The 21,446-nt window shown below is 37.4% G+C and overlaps 1 protein-coding gene across 14 annotated transcripts in view; it reads right to left on the bottom strand.

The window, feature by feature from the left end:
- The window catches only part of TMEM67 (transmembrane protein 67), a 77,810-nt gene that overhangs the window by 25,523 nt on the left and 30,841 nt on the right, over window positions 1-21,446 (bottom strand). For all 14 annotated transcript variants that reach the window (XR_001745619.3, XR_007060761.1, XR_007060762.1 and 11 more), the window contains 11 exons: window positions 20,785-20,908; window positions 19,182-19,287; window positions 15,812-15,868; window positions 13,835-13,933; window positions 11,624-11,722; window positions 11,144-11,230; window positions 9,898-9,997; window positions 9,661-9,800; window positions 7,373-7,513; window positions 3,447-3,527; window positions 2,253-2,369 (listed from right to left, as the gene is read on the bottom strand). Coding sequence is in view for 6 of the 14 variants with exons in the window: in NM_001142301.1 (NP_001135773.1) it covers window positions 2,253-2,369; window positions 3,447-3,527; window positions 7,373-7,513; window positions 9,661-9,800; window positions 9,898-9,997; window positions 11,144-11,230; window positions 11,624-11,722; window positions 13,835-13,933; window positions 15,812-15,868; window positions 19,182-19,287; window positions 20,785-20,908 (1,151 nt within the window). In the remaining 8 variants the exon portion in view is untranslated. The remainder of the gene's footprint in view (window positions 1-2,252; window positions 2,370-3,446; window positions 3,528-7,372; window positions 7,514-9,660; window positions 9,801-9,897; window positions 9,998-11,143; window positions 11,231-11,623; window positions 11,723-13,834; window positions 13,934-15,811; window positions 15,869-19,181; window positions 19,288-20,784; window positions 20,909-21,446) is intronic.

Genomic DNA, 21,446 nt, shown 5'->3' with positions numbered 1-21,446 from the left:
TATTAGCTTTTCAAAAAAAGTTTGCTAATTTGAAGAGGGGAAAATCATTATTTTTATATTCAGTTCTTTGATTATGAGTTAAAATATTTTTAGAGCTTTATTAGTGTCTATTGGTCATTTTTCCATTGAGATTTTAATTTAGTGTTTTCTTGATTTGCATAACTTTCAATATTCTTATCAATTTCTTTGTCATATTTGTTAAAAGTATTTTACTCTAATTCACTTTTATAATGGCTTGATATGCAAATGTACTATATTAATAAAGTAACATCAATTAATATTCCCTTTTTGATGATTTCTATTCTTTATCCTTAGAATATCATCTCCCAGTCTGAAATATTCTTTTCTAGGTTCTCATGGCTTCATGTTTTACATTTAACTTTTTAATCACAAGGTAATTTCTATTGTTTAATCAAGTGATCCAGCTCAATGTATTAAATAAATTCTTCTCTGAAATGCCATTATCATGTGTCAAATTCTTACAAGTCACAGGTATGGCCCCTTAATCACTAAATCCTCTTGTTTTTTCCACTTAAGCACATCTTATTATTTAAAAAATTTTATTATGGAAGTTTTCCAAATGTACATAGTAGAGAGAATAGTAAACTACTCATTACCTAGCTTCAGCAATTACTAATATTTTATCAATTTTGTTTCATCTATCCTCCCAAATTTTCTTTTTTCTTAGAGTATTTTAAAGTAAAACCCAGACCATGTCATTTCATCTGTAAATGCTTTGTATGTATTTCTAATAAGGACTTTAAAATAAATAACCATCATGCCATTTTCATACCTAACAAAATTAGTTATTCCTTAACATTTAGTCCACTAAAAATCTCCCAGATTTTTTTAATAGTTGGTTTGTCTGAATCAGGATCCAAATAAAGTCCACACATTGTACCAGATTGGTTTTTCAAACCTTTCTTATAATGTAATAGTTCGTACACTGCCACCATTATCCTTCCTTTTCTTTTCATGTCATTGATTTGTCTGGAGACACTGAGTCATTTATCCTGTGAGGCAGCCTATACTCCAGACCTGGCTAATTACTTCCTATGGTGCTATTTAATTTGTCCCTTTATCGCTTGTATTTCCTATAAACTGGTGATTAGAGCTAGAGGGTTGATTATACTCAGATTCAGTTTTTTAGGCAAAAATACTTCATTGGTGAAATTATATACTTCCTACTGCATCATGGCAGGAAGTGTTTATGTCAGTTTTCCTTATTTTTATTTACAGTGTGTCTAAATTACGTCAACCTGATCCCTCATTATAAAGTTCCCTGTCAACAATCACTTAATCGTTTAGCATCCACTGATAATGGCAGCTTACATTCATCAATCCATTAGTCATTGCAAAATGGTAATTTTTCTAACTTAGAATTCCTTCTACTTTCTTCTATAAGGAGGAACTTTCCCTCATGAATTATTTGATTACTGTGATACAGTTCATACAGAAACTACAGGATAAAATTAAAATTAGATTCTTTCCCTTTATGAATGTTCAGGGTGAGTTGGTCCCTAGCAACTTTCTTTTTTTTTTTTTTTTTTGAGACGGAGTCTCGCTCTGTCGCCCAAGCTGGAGTGCGGTGGCGCAATCTCGGCTCACTGCAAGCTCCACCTCCCAGGTTCATGCCATTCTGCCTCAGCCTCCCAAGTAGCTGGGACTACAGGCGCCCGCGACCATGCCCGGCTAATTTTTTTGTATTTTTAGTAGAGACAGGGTTTCACTGTGTTAGTCAAGATGGTCTCAATCTCCTGACCTCGTGATCTGCCCACCTCGGCCTCCCAAAGTGCTGGGATTACAGGCGTGAGCCACCATGCCTGGCAGTCCTTAGCAACTATCAAAGTGATAAATAGGCCAGGTGCGCGGTGACTCAAGCCTGTAATCTTAGCACTTTGGGAGGCCAAGGTGGGTGGATCACCTGAGGTCAGGATTCAAGACCAGCCTGGCCAACATGGTGAAACCTCGTCTCTACTAAAAATACAAAATTAGCCGGGTGTAGTGGCAGGCGCCTGCAGTCCCAGCTGCTCAGGAAGCTGAGACGGGAGGATCACTTGAACCCAGAAGGCAGAGGCTGCAGTGAGCCGAGATTGCGCCACTGCACTCCAGCCTGGGTGACAGAGGGAGACTCCATCTCAAAAAGAAAAAAAAGTTATCAATGAAGACTGTTTTTTTTTTAAAACAAATCCAGCATTTATAAGAATCCACTTCTCAACTTAAAAACAAAAAGATGTAAAACATTTTCATACCGCTTCTCTTTTAAGGTTCATATTCATTTCTTCCATATTAGTATCTGCATGCCCATGTACTGATCTACCATGAATGTAATATCCAAAACATTTGTGGGATAACAGAAACACTGATATCTATAAAAAGAGAATAAAAAGAAGCAAATAGCAACTCATCTGCAAAACAATAAAAAATTAAGTTTTCCTTAAAATTGCTTTCTTTTTCCCAAAATAATGAAGATTGTATTCTTGGGAAATATATAAAGAGGATAATAAAGTAATGAAGGATAATAAGGTTTGTGTTTTTTTTTTTTTTAAATGTTTGAAAAAGAGATTGAAGATATTTTCCAAGAAAGGGAGAAACAAGTCTGGGCAACATAGGGAAACTCTATCTCTACAAAAAAAAAAAAAAAAAAAATAGCTGAGTGTTGGTGGTGCACACCTGTGGTCCCAGCTACTTGGGAAGCTGAGGTGGGAGGAAAGCTTGAACTCAGGAGGTCAAGGTTGCAGTAAGCTACGACTGCACGACTGTAGTCCAGCCTGGGTTACAGTGCGAGACCTTTTCTCAAAAAAAAAAAAAAAAAAAAAAGAAAAGAAAAGAGAAAAGAAAAGAAAAGAAGAAACAGGGTTGACATAGAAACAATTTTCAGGGGTACTGGAATGAATGAACTACTTGGTAGCATAAGAAATTCATAATTAAGAAACTGCAAATAAAGATGAAAAAAACAGGCTGGGCACAGTGGCTCACACCTGTAATCCCAGCACTTGGGGAGGCTGGATCACCTGAGGTCAGGAGTTCAAGACCAGCCTGGCCAACATGGGGAAACCCCATCTATACCAAAAATACAAAAAAAAAAATTAGCCCAGCATAGTGGTGCACACCTGTAATCCCAGCTACTCAGGAGGTTGAGGTATGAGAATTGCTTGAACCTGAGAGCCAGAGGTTGCAGTGAGCCAAGATGGTGCCACTACACTCCAGCCTGGGTGATGGAGCAAGACCGTTTCAAAAAAAAAAAAAAATGAAAAAATGAAAAAACTAAGGCAGTTTAAGTATTAACTTGTAGCTCATTATAATTATCTCTGGAATTAACAACCAGTGGAAAATTGGCCCAAAAATTCAATCATACCAAATCACTTTTAAAGTCTCTCTTAACAAACTCATGACCTTTAAAAAGGGAAAGTAACAGTTGCAAGATGAAGTCAGAAAGTACTTACATTACTCATAGAGCATAAATCAACGAACTGTCGAATTTTATCTTCTATAAATCTCTCATAAAAGACAGCAAAGAACACGACCTGAAACATTAAGTCAAGTTTATGCTTATTAGCTTTTAGGATTTTAATTTTCTTTTACAGCCACAGTGTAGCATCTTAAGAAAAAAAAGTTCCAACCAAAAGCACAGTGGCCTTTAACAGTTCCTATGTGATAAAGTCCTACTTGTCATTTCTGACTCTTCTGTCAAAGGGAGGAGGATTTTAGAATTGTGTTGAGTCATTGAGGGAGCCTATTTTGAGTTCTGAAAACTGTTGTGTGTCATTAAAACAAGCTATGACAAACACGTGGGAAGAAAGAAAAAGTCTTTTAAAAATGTAGGATATATCAATGCATCGATGGTCAGATTTATGTTTGGGTTTGCAATTTTGCTCATCTAAATTTCAAGACATGAGAAAATGCTCTACTTTTCAAATGAATTTTCTCTGCCAGAACAGCACATAAAAAGCATATATCTAGTATTCTGACTACAAAGTATTAAAAATTCATATGGAATGGTTTCCTGTGTTTTCTTAGATTTAATACTAGAAACAGAAATTTTATAAATAAAAATTTTACATGGTACATCTTTTTAGACATGTTTCAGGAAAAGATAAAACTTCCTAACTCCCCTATTTAAAGCTGTCCCCACTGTCCCCCATTCCTATCTTCCACTCCCCTCCCTTCTAGTTACTCTCTATCTCATGTCCCTGCTGATTCTCTTCACAGCACTTGGCACAATCTGTCATTTGTTCCTGTAACAGCAGATCCATAAGCTCAGCACAGCATCCAATACATAAAATGCACTCAAATATGTGGATGAATAGATAAATGAATCTACACCAGCCGACTGCTGAAAATGTTTTCCTACATACTCTATATACATATTTTAAACCTCTTTAAAGGATGTGAAAAACAGCAATATTCAAGGTTTAAAAATTAAAAGACACCACTTAAAAGCTGAAGAGGCTGGGTTTAAGGAAATAAAAGGAGTGAACAATTATTAGAATCAAGGAGAGTTTAGACAAATTTATGAAACTGTAACAGGTTGTTAAAGGAACCCTTAAGGATTCTTGACAAATATATAAACACTGATCATTTTAGAATATTACCATGGAGAGAAATGCTTTACTATCCAGCTAATGGCAAAGTGAGAAGCAAAGAATGAAGTTAGATGGTGGTGTCTGAGATTGCTAGGTGCTGTCCCAACAATCCTTTCTCTTTAGTAACAGATCCCTTCCTTGAGCAGGATATACTGCTGCCCAGCTGAAAGAGTCTAGTGCAGCTAGGTGTGGCCATGCAATTAAGTTCTAGCCAAGAAGATGTTGAAAGGCACCTCTGAAAAGGCTCTTAAAGAAAAGGTGAGCTTACCTACTTCAATTCCCTCCTGTAACTTCATTGGCTATTATGGACCATGAAGGGACTGTGGAGATGGAAGTCCCTTGTGGCTGGGCAGAAGGACAGGCTTCTGGGTCCTGACAGTAGCACTAAGCCACCATTCCACTCCAGCCCTGAACTTTGGACCTCTGCTTATCTTTTTCATGGGAAAGACAAGGTTCTCTTTGATTTCAGTCACTCTTATTTTGATTTTGGTTGTGTTATATTCAACCAAATATGAAAAGCTTCAGATGATATTGCTTTAGACTCTCTACATCCAGATGAATCTGATATACTCACAAAATATATCGGTATATTGTACAAAATATTTCCTTAACATTGATGATAAACATCAAACCCTATACTCTTTTGATTCTATCTTGTTTCCAATTCTAATATATTTGTCTTCTTTTTCTGGTTGTCAGCTGTCCTTTACTAACTCTATCCCTGTAGTTTCAAGTTTGAGTAAGTCTCATCAATTTAAAATAAGTATATATTTAAAAAGTTAATCCACAGATTACTGAATACCACCACCTGGACCTAATTCTCTAAGAATAAGCTCTCTTAAAAATATTTCAATCTGGCTCACACGTGCAACCCTGGCACTTTGGGAGGCTGAGATGGCAGGATAGCTTGAGCTCAGGAGTTTATGACCAGCCTGGCCAACATGGTAAAACCCCGTCTCTACTAAAAACACAAAAATTAGCTGGGCCTGGTGGCAGGTGCCTGTAATCCCAGCTTCTTGGGAGGCTGAGGCAGGAGAATCGCTTGAACCTGGGAAGCGAAGGTTACAGTGAGCTGAGATCACGCCACTGCACTACAGCCTGGGCAACAAGAGTGAAACTCTGTCTCAAAAAAAAAAAAAAAAAATTGCTGGGTGTGGTGGCATGTGCCTGTAGTCCCAGCTAATCAGGAGGCTGAGGCAGGAGGATTGCTTGAGCCTGGGAGGTTGAGGCTGCAGTGAACTATGATTCCATCACTGTACTCCAGACTGGGAGACAGGGGAAGACTGTCTCTAAAAACAAAAACCAAACAAACAAAAATCTCAAAAGATTCTTAAAAATAGGCTGTTTTAGGTAGATAGCTATTAGCCAGCTATAGGAAGTTAAAACTGCTCTCTAGAGGTCCTATCTTCATGTGCTGATTATAAAAGTTAAGGAAATTTTAAAGTAAACAGAAGGACTCTTTCTGTTTATGAGTATCTGAAAGTTAGATGCTTGCTGCTGCTTCTTTCTTTTTCTTTTCTTCCTTTTGTCTTTTTTTTTTCTTTATGGCCTCTACTAGATACATGGGACCTGAGGCTAAAAAGACTTATTTTTACTTTCAGTCATTTTAATAAATATTTCAAGAAAAACTCCACAAGGGGTACGAGCAATCTGAGTGAGGTTTCATGATATAAATAAATGTAAACAATAAGTTATGTTTCAAAAGAAAAGAACATATTTAGGGTAGCTTATCTGTCCCTGTATTTACATATAAACTAAACAAAGAGTCTGTCCTATTACTATAAAGCTGAGGACTCTCAAAGGCCCTTCAGAGCCCCACTATTGACAAGAACGTGAACTCTGAAATCAGGCTGCCTGAGTTCCAATTCCAGTTCTGTCAGTTACTAGTCACATGACTTCAGGCAATTTTTTTAGCCTTCCTGGGTCTCAGTTTCCTCATCTATAAAATGAGGATAATAACAGAGCTTATCTCCGAGGGCTATTATAAAGATTAAGACATTATTAGGTATAAAGCAATTACAATTGTCCTTATAGTATGTTGGGATTGAGTCCAGAACCCCCAAGTATACCAAAATCCACCCATATTCAAGTCCCATATTCAGTCCTGCTGGAACCCATCTATACAGAAAGTTGGCCCTCTACAGATGCAGAATTTGCATTCTGTGAACACTGTATTTTCTACTCTCAATGAGTTCAGTCAAACAGTTCAACATGGGGTTGAACTATTTGAGGATCAACAGTAATTACACTCGATCTTAGCCTAAAGGCCAAGAAGTGATGGACCAACAGTAATTAATTAGCACAGTGACTAATACAATATAAGAATTGACTACTGGCTGGGTGCGATGGCTCATGCCTGTAATCTCAGAACTTTGGGAGGGTGAGGAGGATGGATCACCTGAGGTCAGGAGTTCAAGACCAGCCTGACCAACATGGTAAAAACCCATCTCTACTAAAAATACAAAAAGAATTATCTGGATGTAGTGGTGGGAGCCTACAGACCCAGCTACTCAGGAGGTTGAGGTGGGAGAATTGCTTGAACCCGGAAGGCAGAGGCTGCAGTGAACCAAGATCATGCCACTGCACTCCAGCCTGGGTGACAGAGCGGGACTCTGTTTCAAAAAAAAAAAAAAAAAAAAAGAACTGACCATTAGCTATTGTTCTTGTCACCTTCTTTCTGCTACAGAAAGAAGGATGTGGTCAATATTTGATGATAATCAGTAATTAGGCAGAGTTATAAAGAAGCAATGTTACTTAGAAGTAATATTACCTGTATAATTCCTTACCTGTATAATTCCAATGGCTAGCCAAAGAGCAGCAGACACTGCATATCTCAAAATGCAGCTATAAGGAGCTATGTAGCTAGGTGGGTTTCTAGAAAGACTAGAAGATGAGTCCATTAATGCTAAGTTCTTGAATCCCACAACCTGGAGTAAAAAGGAAAAGTAGTAATTTAAACGGACATGGATAAAGAAAACTACTCTAGACTGAAAACAGAAAACCTCTCCCTACTCACCTTGAAAAACTAAAATATCTAAGTTTGTATAAACAGTAGAAAATCTAGATAAAAATAATTATTATATAGTATTTTAACTACAAAGTATTTATTACACAATATTTAGTTAGCTCATTTGGCATTCTTCTCAATATGACTAAGGGCCAAATATAACCTTATTGTCATACACACTGACAAGACTAAAAATTTAATTAAAAGGATAAAACTTTCATCAGTAAACTACCAATGAGTGAAACCAACAAGTAGTATTTCATGAGTATTTGACATGTGCCAGGCACTGTACTAAACATTTTTATACTTTAAAACAGTATATTACAAAATGTCTTCTAAAGGACATAAGTTCTTGAAAAAAGAATCTATGTTTAAATACTTTTGGTCCATCCATTACACTCACCTCCATGCCTCCCACCCTTGTAGAATAAAGGCTCTGAGAAGTTTTACAGTAAAAGGTGCTACATGATTATACTGAATCCAATATTTTCCAAACTTACTTGACCATAAAACTTTTTCACATAACACCTTTTAAAGCTGAGGAAACTCTTAAACACACACACACACACACACACACACACACACACACACACACTACTTTAGTACAAAAAGAAAAGATGTGAGGTAACAGATAAACTAGCTTGATTTAGCCATTCCACAATGAATACATATATCAAAACACTGTATTGTAAACTATAAACATATGTAATTTTTATCTGTCCATTTAAGAAAAACCAAAATACCACTTCAAGTGAACTTTGGAAGTCTTGTTCATATTATTTTAAAGCCCTAGGGATACAAACATTCTTCTACTAGTTTTATAAAAGGAAAGGAAGGGAAAGGGGAAAGAGAATGGAAAGAAAGAAGAAAAAAGAGGGAAGGCAGACAGACAGACCTAAGAGTTAATGATTTATATTCAATCTTAATTAAGCAGATAATTCCTGAGAAAACCTATTCCCATATAAACTGTTTCCATGTTCAGTCTTATACTCAGTACTGAATACTTCCTTTAATAATTCCAACCAAATCCATGAAATAACTGCATATGTATCACAAACATGTTGTGTTTTGTTCAGTGTAGCCCCAGCTCTTAGCACAGAACATAGTCTACAGTAAGTGTTCAATACAAATTTGTTGAAAAATATCAAACTTATAATAGTGATTCTAATGCAGGGGAGAATATGGATCGGGGGTAGGGAGCTTTTTCAAAATATAGATACCTGGAGTTACCTCAAAGCTACTAAATCAACACATAGTCTCTAAGGGTGAGCCTGAGCATAGGTATTTTACAAAAGATCCCCAAGGGATTCTGATACAAACCAGTGGTTTTAAAGCTACTCCTTACACCTAGAGCAGTCAAACACACAGAGACAGAAAGTATTATAGAATGGTGGTTGCCTGGGGTTAGGTGTAGCAGGGAATGGGTACAGAGTTGTTTAAGGGGTATAGAGTTTCAGTTTTGCAAGATGAAGAGTTCTAAGATGAATGGTGATGATGATTTTGCGTGGCAATGTGAATGTACGTAACACTACTTTTTGTTTGTTTGTTTTTTTCTGAGATGGAGTTTTGCTCTTTCTGCCCAGGCTGGAGTTCAATGGTGCAATCTCGGCTCACTGTAACCTCCGCCTCCCGGGTTCAAGCAATTCTCCTGCCTCAGCCTCCCGAGCAGCTGGGATTATAGGCATGTGCCGCCATGCCCAGCTAATTTTGTATTTTTTGGTAGAGACGGGGTTTCTCCATGTTGGCCAGGCTGGTCTTGAACTTCCAACCTCAGGTGATCCGCCTGCCTCAGCCTCCCAAAGTGTTGGGATTACAGGCATGAGCCACTGTGCCTGGCCAACTTAACACTATTAAACTCTACACTTAAAAATGCTTAAGATGGTAAACTTAAAAAAAGAATTGTGGTAAAATACGTAACATAAAGGTACTCCTTTTTAATGGCTTCACAACAATATTTCAACCTTTAGAGAAATCTTCCACTGTCATGAAAACTTAGTTGGAATTATATTAGTTTAATATTTATAAGGTACATGTAAGTCGCATATAATCACATCAAACAGTTTATACCTCCAAAAAGAAGAGGACAGTAAGTACTTGAAAGAGTGAATTAATTTTTCTCACAGTCTGAATTTCATTCCATTCATTTGCTACAAAATATGTTCTCCATATGCTTACAGGAACAGTGGCACTTCGTACACCACCCTCACCTGGTCAGGAAAATAAAATGAGTAAAAGAGTTTTACCTCCTTTGCTCTGCAAGGGTAGCAAAAGAATTTTGGTACAAATATTTTTTATTTCAGTTACCTTCAACAGCTTTAAGAACCTTTCCTTTAGGTCGCTCCCAATCAATAAAGAATACATCTATTGTAATCTGGGATATGAGCTTATGCAAAAATTGTAGTGCCTGAGAATGACATATAATAAAACACCTGAAAAAGTACCAGCGTTAAGTCTGCTTATAAAACCAATATTGACTCTTTAAGAAACATACTGTTATCACAAGAACATATAATTTTATGAGTGAATTCACATGAAGTTATAATACCACTAAGGAATCATTAGAAGCTCATCAGATAACCTGGAATCATCAAATTCACAGAATTTTCATATACATCTTAATTTACCTTCCCTTTTTCTTTCTTTCTTTAAAATAGGAATATGAAAAGAGGAGACATTTTTCCTCCTCCTCACATAGGGACTTATATAATTGACTCTTTCCCAAAGATTCTAGAAGCACACTTTGTTTTGTAGATCAGCTGACTTCTTTATAAGTAAAGATATTTTCAACTATAGTTTGTTTTTCCTAATTAAAGTTTTCGAATGCTCTTACTGTCTTTTTTTTCTATTTCTGCTATTCAGATTTCTGATTTTTAAAGAATGTGCTGTTGAAACACATCTTTCTTATTTATACAAGCAATATGTTTAAACTGAGGCATTCTTTCTAGTTGCTGCATTATTCATCAAATAAAGGATAAAAATCTAAGTATGAGATACTTCACCTCAAGAAGCTCCCAGTCAGTGGAAAAAGCAGACACTTAACACTCACAGTAAAATAGGATAAGGACTACCAACAGGCATATAAAGAGATTCACCTACATTGATGGAGAACACTGAGTTGGGGATTGGGGGGCCATAGGAAGAAAGGAGCAAAGGAATCTGGAGACAGACAAAACAACTTTTAAGATCTCAACACTTTATCCAGAGTGGTACCTTTTACCCTTGATTAATGGAGACAAAATTCATGCCTGAAGACATTTTGTCCCATTGTGAATGTATCATCAGACTTTAAAGAAAGTTATATACTGAAATATCATTTTATCAAATAAGCCATACAAATTCATGGCTTCTTTGAAAAAAATATTTAAGGCAGAGTTTCAGACTGAGCATCTACTATAAATAAAAGTAAATTTACCACATAAAATAATTAATGCTTTCTTTCAAAACCAAAGTGAATTTCACGCCAAAGATTTTTGAAAGCATTTTAATTTTAAAGACTTGTTAGTTCATTAGCAGGCCTTTTAAATTTGGTAACCTGTCCTTTAAAACTTACCTTCAGAGCAAAGGCACATCCAACATAAGTGACAAAACGTTCTTCCTGAATTGGCATTGGCAGCAAAACAGACACAGACTTCTGTGCCTATAATAAAAATTACTTGATTAAATATTATCACACACAGTTTTTTTTGTTTGTTTGTTTGTTTTTTGTTTTCGTTTTTGTTTTTTTTTGGGAAAGGAGGGTCTCAGTATGCTGCCCGGGCAGGACTTGATTCTGGACTCACAGGATCCTCCCACCTAAGTCTTCCAATTGAACAAGGTTTTTACTAAGCACAATTTATAAACCAAAGAAAGCATAAAAGAGGAAGATAGTGATGTAATCGATAAGCTCAGCACACTCAAGGAATGGGGAGTTGGGAACTTTTCTTAATACTGTTGATCAAAAATTCTCTCAAATAAAAATAGTTCCTTTATAAAGAAAGCTTTTCAACTATTCAGATATTGGCAGTTGGGGAAAATTCAGAAACTCACTCACTTTGAAGAAAATAAGCCAGTAAAGACCTGTTCCCACTGTGATGATAAAGAAAACATTGGCCAGATCACCAGCATAGTACACCAAGAATTTCACAACTGTCTGCAATTTAAAAAAAAGAATTACAGCTGTTTAAGACTCCATGTATATACCACTTTTAGTAACACTACCACTTTTATACATCATCCACTCCATTTCTTAAGCCTGAAGCCTTGTTTCACATATCCCCATATGATCCAGCTATAAAGACCACCTGCTTCCTCCTCCTTGCTACCTTTTGGCTCCTTACCTTTCTGGCCGTTCCTGGTAGCCTCTTCTTTCAACTCTTCTCATCTTTCACTATCTAAGAAAATTGAACTGCTTCCTAATTTTCTCTTAGTTGGGAATCCTCCCCTCTAATCTCTCCTCCACACTACCACCAGAGTTAGTTTTCTAAGATGTAAATTGGATTGTGTCACTCCCCTTGTTAAAAATGAACAACTCCTCATTGCAATATAAATTCCTGATCCACAAGGTCTTTCACAATATGGGCCAAAATTAACTTTTTAGCCTCATCTGCCAGTTCCAGCCATGTAGTCAATGACTAACCACTCCATACGTTCATCTCAAATACTTTCTGGAATAAAATGGGCATTGTTTTACCAAATATTCTTCTCTTCCCCTCTCTGGTAAGTTCTCATGATTTCTGAGAGCACAGACTATGTCTGTCTTTGCTCACTAACACATTCTCCAGCTCCTGGTAGAGTGCCAGACACTTAGACAATAGAGCCTCAGTGACTATTATAGAATGAACAGATAATCCCACTTAAAGTTCATTTCTCTGGGAAGCCTTTCTGGACTATCCCAAGTAGTAAATCAAGTACCCCTGCTGATTCCTTAGCCCACTGGCTTTGGAATCAGAAAGATACTTTGGTTAAAGCTACCATGTAACCTTTCTCATGTTCTTCATCAACAAAACGGAAATACCTATTACTGAGTTGCAAAAATCAAGTGAGTAGAAAATTTAACCTTTACCTCAATTTCATCACGTGTAAAACGCAAATAATAATAATAACCTAACTTCAAAGAGCTACTGTGCGGATTCAGAAAATTACATACATAAAGCTTTAAAAAGTGCCTGGTACATGGTAAATATTTTTTAAATGTTTAATAAAAATAAAAGGTTAACCATGAAGTGAAAGTATAAAGTTAATAGAATAAAATGTGGACTATCTTTGTGATCTTGATATAGGGACGGTTTTCCTAAACAAGATCCCAAAAGCACGTATCATAACATGAAAAAAAATATTCAGATATGATGATATCAAAACCAAAAGTTTCTGGCCAGGCGTGGTGGCTCATGCCTGTAATCCCAGCACTTTGGGAGGCTGAGGTGGGCGGATCATGAGGCCAGGAGTTCAAGACCAGCCTGAACAACATGGTGAAACCCCGTCTCTACTAAAAATACAAAAATTAGCCAGGCATGGTGGTGTGCGCCTGTAATTCCAGCTACTCAGGAGGCTGAGGCAGGAGAATTGCTTGAACCCGGGAGGCAGAGGTTGCAAGTGAACCAAGATTGTGCCTCTGCACTCCAGCCTCAGCGACAGAGTGAGACTCCGTCTCAAAAAAACAACAACAAAAAAAAACAAAAATGAAAACAAAAACAAACCTGAAAGTTTCTGTTAAACAAAGGACTACATGGATAAAAATAACGGATGGGTCACATATTTATTTGGTCATATATTTCAACATCAGAAACCAAAAAGGGGTTACTATTTAGAAAATACAAAAAAAAATTCTTCAAATAAACAATAAAAACTGGAAACATAATAGAGAAATGGGCAAGGGATATAAACAGGCAGTTCACAGAAGGAGAAACCCAAACGATTAAAATGTATATGAAGAGTACAGAGAAATGAAAATGAAATCAACAATGACATACTACTATATGCCATGAGGTTGGCAAAAAATGAAAAGGTTGGAAAAATATCAAGTGTTGCCAAGTATGTGCAGAAATAAGAAGAGCATTGCTGGTGGGAATATAGACTGGCATACAGTATGGTGGGAAGAAAATGAGGTACACATATACCATATGACCCAGCAATACTTACCCTAATTACATATCCCAGAAAAATTCAATGCAACTTTTTTACTTATTCTCTAGCTGTGTCTTATGAGAAGGATCCAGAATGGTCAAAAGATAAAAATATTCTTAAAAAACTCCTGAGATTATACCTGTAAATCAATCATGGGACTCCCAATGCGCCTCTTCCATCCTGCTGTCTTCAAAAGAGATGCTAAAACAGCTAGCCCACCCAATACACCCAAAGCAATCTAAAAAACAAAAGAACAATTGAGAATTTATGTAATTTCTGTCATCGGTGTTCAAAAACACTGTGAACAAGTAAGGAAGTGCTCAAAAAAATGGTGGGGTGGGAAATGTTGAAAGGACACAGGAGTCAGCCGGGCACAGTGGCTCACACCTGTAATCCCAGCACTTTGGGAGGCCGAGGCAGGCGGATCATGAGGTCAGGAGATCAAGACCATCCTGGCTAACACGGTGAAACCCGTCTCTACTAAAAATACAAAAAATTAGCTGGGCATGGTGGTGGGTGCCTGTAGTCCCAGCTACTGGGGAGGCTGAGGCAGGAGAATGGCATGAACCTGGGAGCGGAGCTTGCAGTGAGCCACCAAGATCGCGCCACTGCACTCCAGCCTGGGCGACAGAGTGAGACTCCATCTCAAAAAAAAAAAAAAAGAAAGGACACAGGAGTCAAGTTGGAGGAACTTGTAATGGCCAAATCTGGGACAATTTGAACAAGAAAACAAATAATAATATATTATAATTACTAGAATAAAATAAATATGAGTTCACACTGATTTAAAAATAAATAATTGAATAAATAATGTGAGCAAAGGGAGTTTCTCCTTATAGTAAAGTTCCAAATTAATAAATAAAAAAGTAATTAGGGAAACAGAAAATCACCATCAGGCAAATATCACAGTGAAACTTTCTGCAGGCAAAATCATCAATGGATGCTATTTAATAAAATTAGAGGGCCGGGCACCGTGGCTCACGCCTGTAATCCCAGCATTTTGGGAGGCCGAGACGGGCGGATTGCCTGAGGTCAGGAGTTCGAGACCAGTCTGGCCAATATGATGAAACCCTGTCTCTACTAAAAATATTAAAAAATTAGCTGGGCGTGGTGGTGTGTGCCCGTAATCCCAGCTACTAGGGAGGCTGAGGCAGGGGAATTGCTTAAACCAGCTAGGTGAAGGTTGCAGTGGGCCGAGATAGCGCCACTGCACTCCAGACTGGGCGACAGAGTGAGACTCCATTTAAAATAAAATAAAATAAAATTAGAGGGCCGGCTGGGCATGGTGGCTCACCCCTGTATTCCCAGCACTTTGGGAGGCTGAGGCAGGTGGATCACCTGAGGTTGGGAGTTCGAGACCAGCCTGACCAACATGGAGAAACCCCATCTCTACTAAAAATACAAAAATTAGCTGGGTGTGGTGACACATGCCTGTAATCCCAGATATTCAGGAGGCTGAGACAGGAGAATCGCTTGAACCCGGGAGGCAGAGGTTGCGGTGAGCCAAGATCGTGCCATTGCACTCCAGCCTGGGCAACAAGTGCAAAACTCCGTCTCAAAAAAAAAATGAGAGGGGGAGAATAAGAAGAATAAGAAGAAGCAGGATGTTTGCATAATTTCAAAGAATCTCCCCCATGAGATACTTATTTTTATTTATTATTATAGCATCACTTTGGTGGCATCTTTGCCAAAACTATATGAACTCAATTTGATCATGGGAAAATACCAGACAAACCCAAATTGAGGGCCAAAATAATGGACCAGTACTCTTCAGAAGTGTTAGGGTCATGAAAGACAAAGAAAGACTAAGAATCTGTCACACATTGTAAAACACTAACGAGATATGACAGCTAAAAGCAATATGTGACCCTAGATTGGGTCCTGAAACAGAAAAAAATTCAATAGTGAAATTCAAATAGTATGTAGTTTAGTTAATAGGACTACATCAATATTAATTTCCAGATTATGATCATTGTACTAAGGTTTTGTATGCTAACATTAGGGGAGTCTGGGGAAAGAATAGCTGGCAAATTTGTTTTAGCAACTTCTTGCACATCTGAAATCATTTAATTATAAAATACACTGTATATATTTTAAAAGGTTAAAATAAACTTACATCTGTCTGGACATGTGCTTCTCCATGATCCATTTCATATGTGACTGAGAAAGAAACCTGATATTTAAAACAAAACAAATTAGCTATACTGAAATTATATGATACAAACTTATTTTTGTTATAAAAATACATTTGTAGCTGGGTTTTACCATAAACACTATAGTTTTTAACTATCAATATTACTAGAGTTGACCTTTAACTTACACGTAAATAGATATGCTTTTGAGAATTACTTGTGCTGCTTTAAATATCCTTTCACATACATTAAAAAAGGGGCTCATTAGGAGATAAGTTAAATTCATGCACAAACTAATCATATTTCATTTTCTGATAGACTTCTGTAACTGAGGAATTTGACTAAACTTGTGCATCAGGAATTTAGCAATTGGGTAAACCACCAGTTGCTAAACCGCAGATTAATCAAAGGTCTGAACAAAATCTTAAAGATACCACTACATTAAGAGACAAGAGAAAGAAGAACCTAGTAAAGGGTCAGAGAAGAGGACTGTGAGGGGTAGGAGAGGAAGATACCTAAGTCTTACCATGGTCACAGAATAGGGAGTTTCAAGAAGGAGGAGGAGGTTGAGTACAGTGTCAAATGTTGTATAAATGTCAAGGTAAAGAAAGCCACTATATGTGGAAATCATTGCTGACTTTCATGAAAGAGGTTTTCAAAGAAGTAAATGGCAAGAGCCAGACTGCAAATGATGAAAGAATAAATGGTTGGGAAATGAAGAAGAGATATAATAGCAAGCTGGGCAGCTGGCAGAACTGAGTAAAATGTTTGTTTGTTTAGTTGGTTGTTTTAGTTTGTTTTTAAGATAAGGCAATCTCAGAGTTTTTATAAGCAAAGGAAAGGGACTTGCAGAGAGACTTGGCTGAATAAGACATTAGGGATGGAACAGGATATTGGAAAAGGTACTGTAAATGAGTTTAGATAGAAGATTAGTTTAGGAAGAGAGGAAGGGACCTTCTTTCTTAGAAACAGGAACAAGAAATGGGAAGGACAATGAATCAGAGATTCTGAAATATTAAAGAGGAAATCTTAAGGAATTCATATTAGATGGTCCTGATCTGCTCAAGACCAGATAAAGAGCAGAGACATAGCTGGATGTTTACAACTGATGTAAAATTTTGCAACAGCTGCCACGAGAAATTAAGAAATGATGAAAGAATTGTATATTTTATAATTAGAATAATTTGAGGTGGACTTCATCAATGTAGTTTCATGACTTGACTTTTTTTTTTTCTTTTGAGACAGAGTCTCACTCTGGTGTGCAGTGGTGCAATCTTGGTTTACTGCCATCTCTACATCCCAGGTTCAAGCGATTCTCCTGCCTCAGCCTCCCAAGTAGCTGGGATTACAGGTACCTGCCACCATGCCCAGATAATTTTTTTTGTTGTTGTATTTTTAGCAGACAGGGTTTCACCGTGTTGGCCAGGCTGGTCTCTAACTCCTGACCTCAACTGATCTGCCTGCCTCAGCCTCCCATAGTGCTGGGATTGCAGGCATGAGCCACTACGACCAGCGGACTTAACTTTTTTCTATTTGTTATTTTTCAATTTATCAAGGCTTAGTTTAGAATTATTTTGGACAAGAATAATATTTAAAGAAAAAAACTCAGAAGTGTTTTACATTAAAAAAAAAATATATATATATATATATATTTTTTTGAGACAGAGTTTCACTCTTGTTGCCCAGGCTGGAGTGCAATGGCGTGCTCTCGGCTCACTGCAACCTCCGCCTCTTGGGTTCAAGTGATTCTCCTGCCTCAGCTTCCCAAGCAGCTGGGATTACAGGCAAGCGCCACCATGCCTGGCTGATTTTGTATTTTTAGTAGAGACAGGGTTTCACTATGTTGGTCAAGCTGAAAATAAATACATTCTTGATTACCCATAATATCACTCCAGGAAGTTTTAAACCAGGCAGTCTTTTGTTGTTACCAAGCATGTTTTGGATTTTCTTCTCCTCTCATTACAGTGTATACAAGCTCAGTCAACGGAAACTAATTTTAGCATTGGATTAGGTAATACAAATGAGGATGGAAAGTCTTTAAAAGTTATACTACATGTGTATTTTTGCTTAATTAAAGTTTGAATCCAATAGCAGTCAAGTACAAGTAGAAGCACAACAGAGAGGCCAAAAGCACTGGCTGAAGGAACTAGAATATTAAAATACAGAAGTAAAATAGTAGAAATTCAAAGCTCTTACAGAGTTTGGAGGTAAGAAATGCTTATGCTCTACTTCTCATGTTTTTAGAGAAAGAAGAGAATAGCCACTTAATCTCTAGGAGGAAAACGTACAGAAGAATTACCTCTGTTTTTTTTTACCTCTATCCCTCTCTCATTTACCCCTCCTCAAAGCAGGGATGCTTTATCTGACTGGAGAAGTTGAGAAGAGGAACTGAGCATGTGTGGCTCAACCTTCTTTAGGCTCATTCTCTGCAGTGCAGCCTAAGAGGTCTCGCTTCCATACGTAGGCCCTCCCAGGCAGGAGAGGCCTTCTGTCCTGTAGTTAAGTTTAATTTAGTTGGTGAAGTAGTGGGAAACCTATTTGGCTGCAGGTCCAAACTACATCCTCTAGTTCATGTTAGCAATACTAGTTATAAAGCTGATAATCATCATCTCTTTCTGCCTGTTGAAGTATGTCTCTATTAAGTGGGTCATAGATTGGTGAGCACACATATGCCCACTGTAAAGTCTGAGTTCCTGGCTTAATTGGGCAAAGACACAAAATCTTTATTTATTTATTTATTTTGAGATGGAGTCTTGCTCTTTCGCCCAGGCTGGAGTGCAGTGGCGCGATCTCGGCTCACTACACCTTCGCCTCCCAGGTTCAAGTGATCCTCCTGCCTCAGCCTCCTGAGTAGCTGGGATTACAGATGTGCGCCACCACGCCTGGCTAATTTTTGTATTTTCAGTAAAGACGGGGTTTCACCATGGTGGTCAGGCTGGTCTCGAATTCCTGGCTTCATGATCTGCCCGCCTTAGCCTCCCAAAGTACTGGGATTACAGGCATGAGCCACTGTGCGTGACCCACAAAATCTTAACAAAAGCAAGGTGGCCAAAAAGAACAGGAGCAGACATTGAACATCTCAGCATATCCCAGGATCCCTAACAAGGATACTCAACTGCTGGTGAGGCTTCTACTGAAAAACATAATCCATTCTTACTTTTTTATACTCAGGATCCATAAGAACTCACCTCTTACCATTATTAGTAAAGAATAATTAAGACTTGACTATATGTAGAGAAAGGTTTATTTAGAACTTAAAAAAAAAAAAAAGACTGTCTTTTGACCAAAATGTAAACTGAATCAGTATTATACTCTATTTATACATACAAGGGCACTAATAAGTCAGGAACTCACCTTCACAGACTGGCTGTTGGCATCTTTGATATCAATGTCACTGTAGGCAATGGTGATTAAGGGAGGGTAGATGTTTCCATTTATTGTGTTGGGTACAAGGTGGACACTATTTAAAAGAAAATGCATTTATAGTAATCAGTATATCCGGGCCTTTAAACATACATTTAACTTACCATTTCTTTTGAATTTAATATGAATTGTCTGATGATCTCAGAACCAAGTAGTTAACAAGGACTAAGGAAGGTTACACATAAACTAATGATGACAACAAAAGCTATCTTCAGTGATCAAGACTTGAACATTAAAATATACCATCTGATGGTGTAAGATTAAAGAAAAAGCAAACCAAAAATGTACCATCTGAGATAAATTAGAAGCTCAATCCAAGTCCTGTGAAGTTTACAAATGAAATCACTGAAGAACTATAAACTATCTTTGAGGAATAATCAAAAGTACAGTGCTACATGAAGCCTAAAGAAAGGCAGATAAGATCTTGATTTTCAAAAGAGAAAGATGAATTCTTAACAAAATAATATGTGTCAAGCCAGGTGCAGTGGCTCATGCCTGTAATCCCAGCACTTTGGGAGGCCAAGGCGGGAAGACTGTTTGAGCCCAGGAGTTCAAGACCAGTCTGGGCAACATAGCAAGACCCCGTCTCAAGATAAACAAATAAATAAATTTTTAAATTAAAAAAAAAAAAGTGTCAGCTGTAATATGGTTATGGCACAAAGTGAGGTTCATTTTGCCAAATTCGATGCATTAGTACTGCACAGTTTGTGAATTCAAAAAGGAAAGTGCCAATCACTAGGGGCCAGCATGGTTTCATCAAGAACACATCAAGTCTGACTAGGTGCATTTTCATTTTTACTAGGAACACCATATTAGCAGACTGAAGAAATGCTGAAAAGACAGTACATTTGGATTTCAGCATGATAAATAACAAAGTTTCTGCACTGTTTATAAGATTATGAGAATCAAAATGAAATAACTGAAAAATAAGTATATTGAAGTACTTCAAAGTACCAAACTACTGTGAGATGATGGTGTTGATTTTCATCAGTGTATTCAAGGTACACATCATAAAATATTATAGTGGGAAAGTCACTAAGATTTTAGAGATCTCACACTGGAAAAGAAAGAGAAATTTAAGTGGCGAGGTACTATCCTAACGTAGGATCATAATGAGATTATCCTAGGAAGAGGGAGGTGTTGAAAATTAATCTGGGTAAACCTAGAACAAAAGCCACTGAAAGAAATGAGGACAGGGGAGTCCTAAACATTAACAATCATCTGGCAAGCTCTTCCTGAAACACCAATTTCAGCTCACTGGTATTTACTTAGCTATTCGCAACCCATTCTAATTCAGCAGGTCTAGAGTGGGACCTATAATGTGCATTTTGACCTAACTCCTCACACTCTTCTGTTATAGTTTTCCCCCTTGGCTATTCACTTTTACTGGTCTATGCCAATCTACACATACACCTAAAATAACCCGACCAACTGTTCCAATTCAGTTGTCCTTATTGTTTTCATCTACTAATGACTGGCAAACACTTCCATTATGATATTTTCCCATAAATAATATCATTAGACATTTGTTTACCTCAGTGATATTTGAGTAGCAACTCGAATTACTCTTGGCTGAGTTCCTAAGTCATTTTCTCGTCCACTTACTGCATCCACTAAGAAAATGCGCCGAGTTAGAAGCCACTTTCCAGAGTTGCTGTCTTTTATTATAAAAAGAAAAAAGTTTACTGCACAAATTTAAAACATGAAATTATTGTTTTAGATAAGATGGCTGCAAAAAGCTACTAGTATAAGAAACACCTGACAATGGCGTTCTCTAACTCATGTGAATGTCTTCTTTTGTTTTTTTTAGACAGGGTCTCACTCTGTTGACCAGGCTATAGTGCAATAGCATGATCATGGCTCACTGCATGCATTCTCAACCTCCTGGGCTCAAGTGATCCTCCCACCTCAGCCTCCAGAGTAGCTGGGACTACAAGGGTGCACCATCACACCAAGCTAAATTTTTTTTTGTAGCAACCAGTTCTAATTATGTTGCCTAGGTTGGTCTTCAATTTCTAGGCTCAAGCAATTCTCTCGTCTTGGCCTCCCAAAGTGCTGCGATTATAGGCGTGAGCCACCGTGCCTTGGACTTGAATGTCTTCTGATTGAACTTTTCATAAATTTGGAAGGCTTTCCCCTGCAAATTACCTGAAAAAGCAGAATTTTATAACATGAATAACAACAAAAGAAACTAAT

This window comes from Homo sapiens, chromosome 8 (assembly GCF_000001405.40).
Source record: "Homo sapiens chromosome 8, GRCh38.p14 Primary Assembly".
Lineage (NCBI taxonomy): Eukaryota > Metazoa > Chordata > Mammalia > Primates > Hominidae > Homo > Homo sapiens.
The sequence above is the reverse complement of the archived record's forward strand: the minus strand, read 5'-3'. Positions and strand labels throughout refer to the sequence as shown.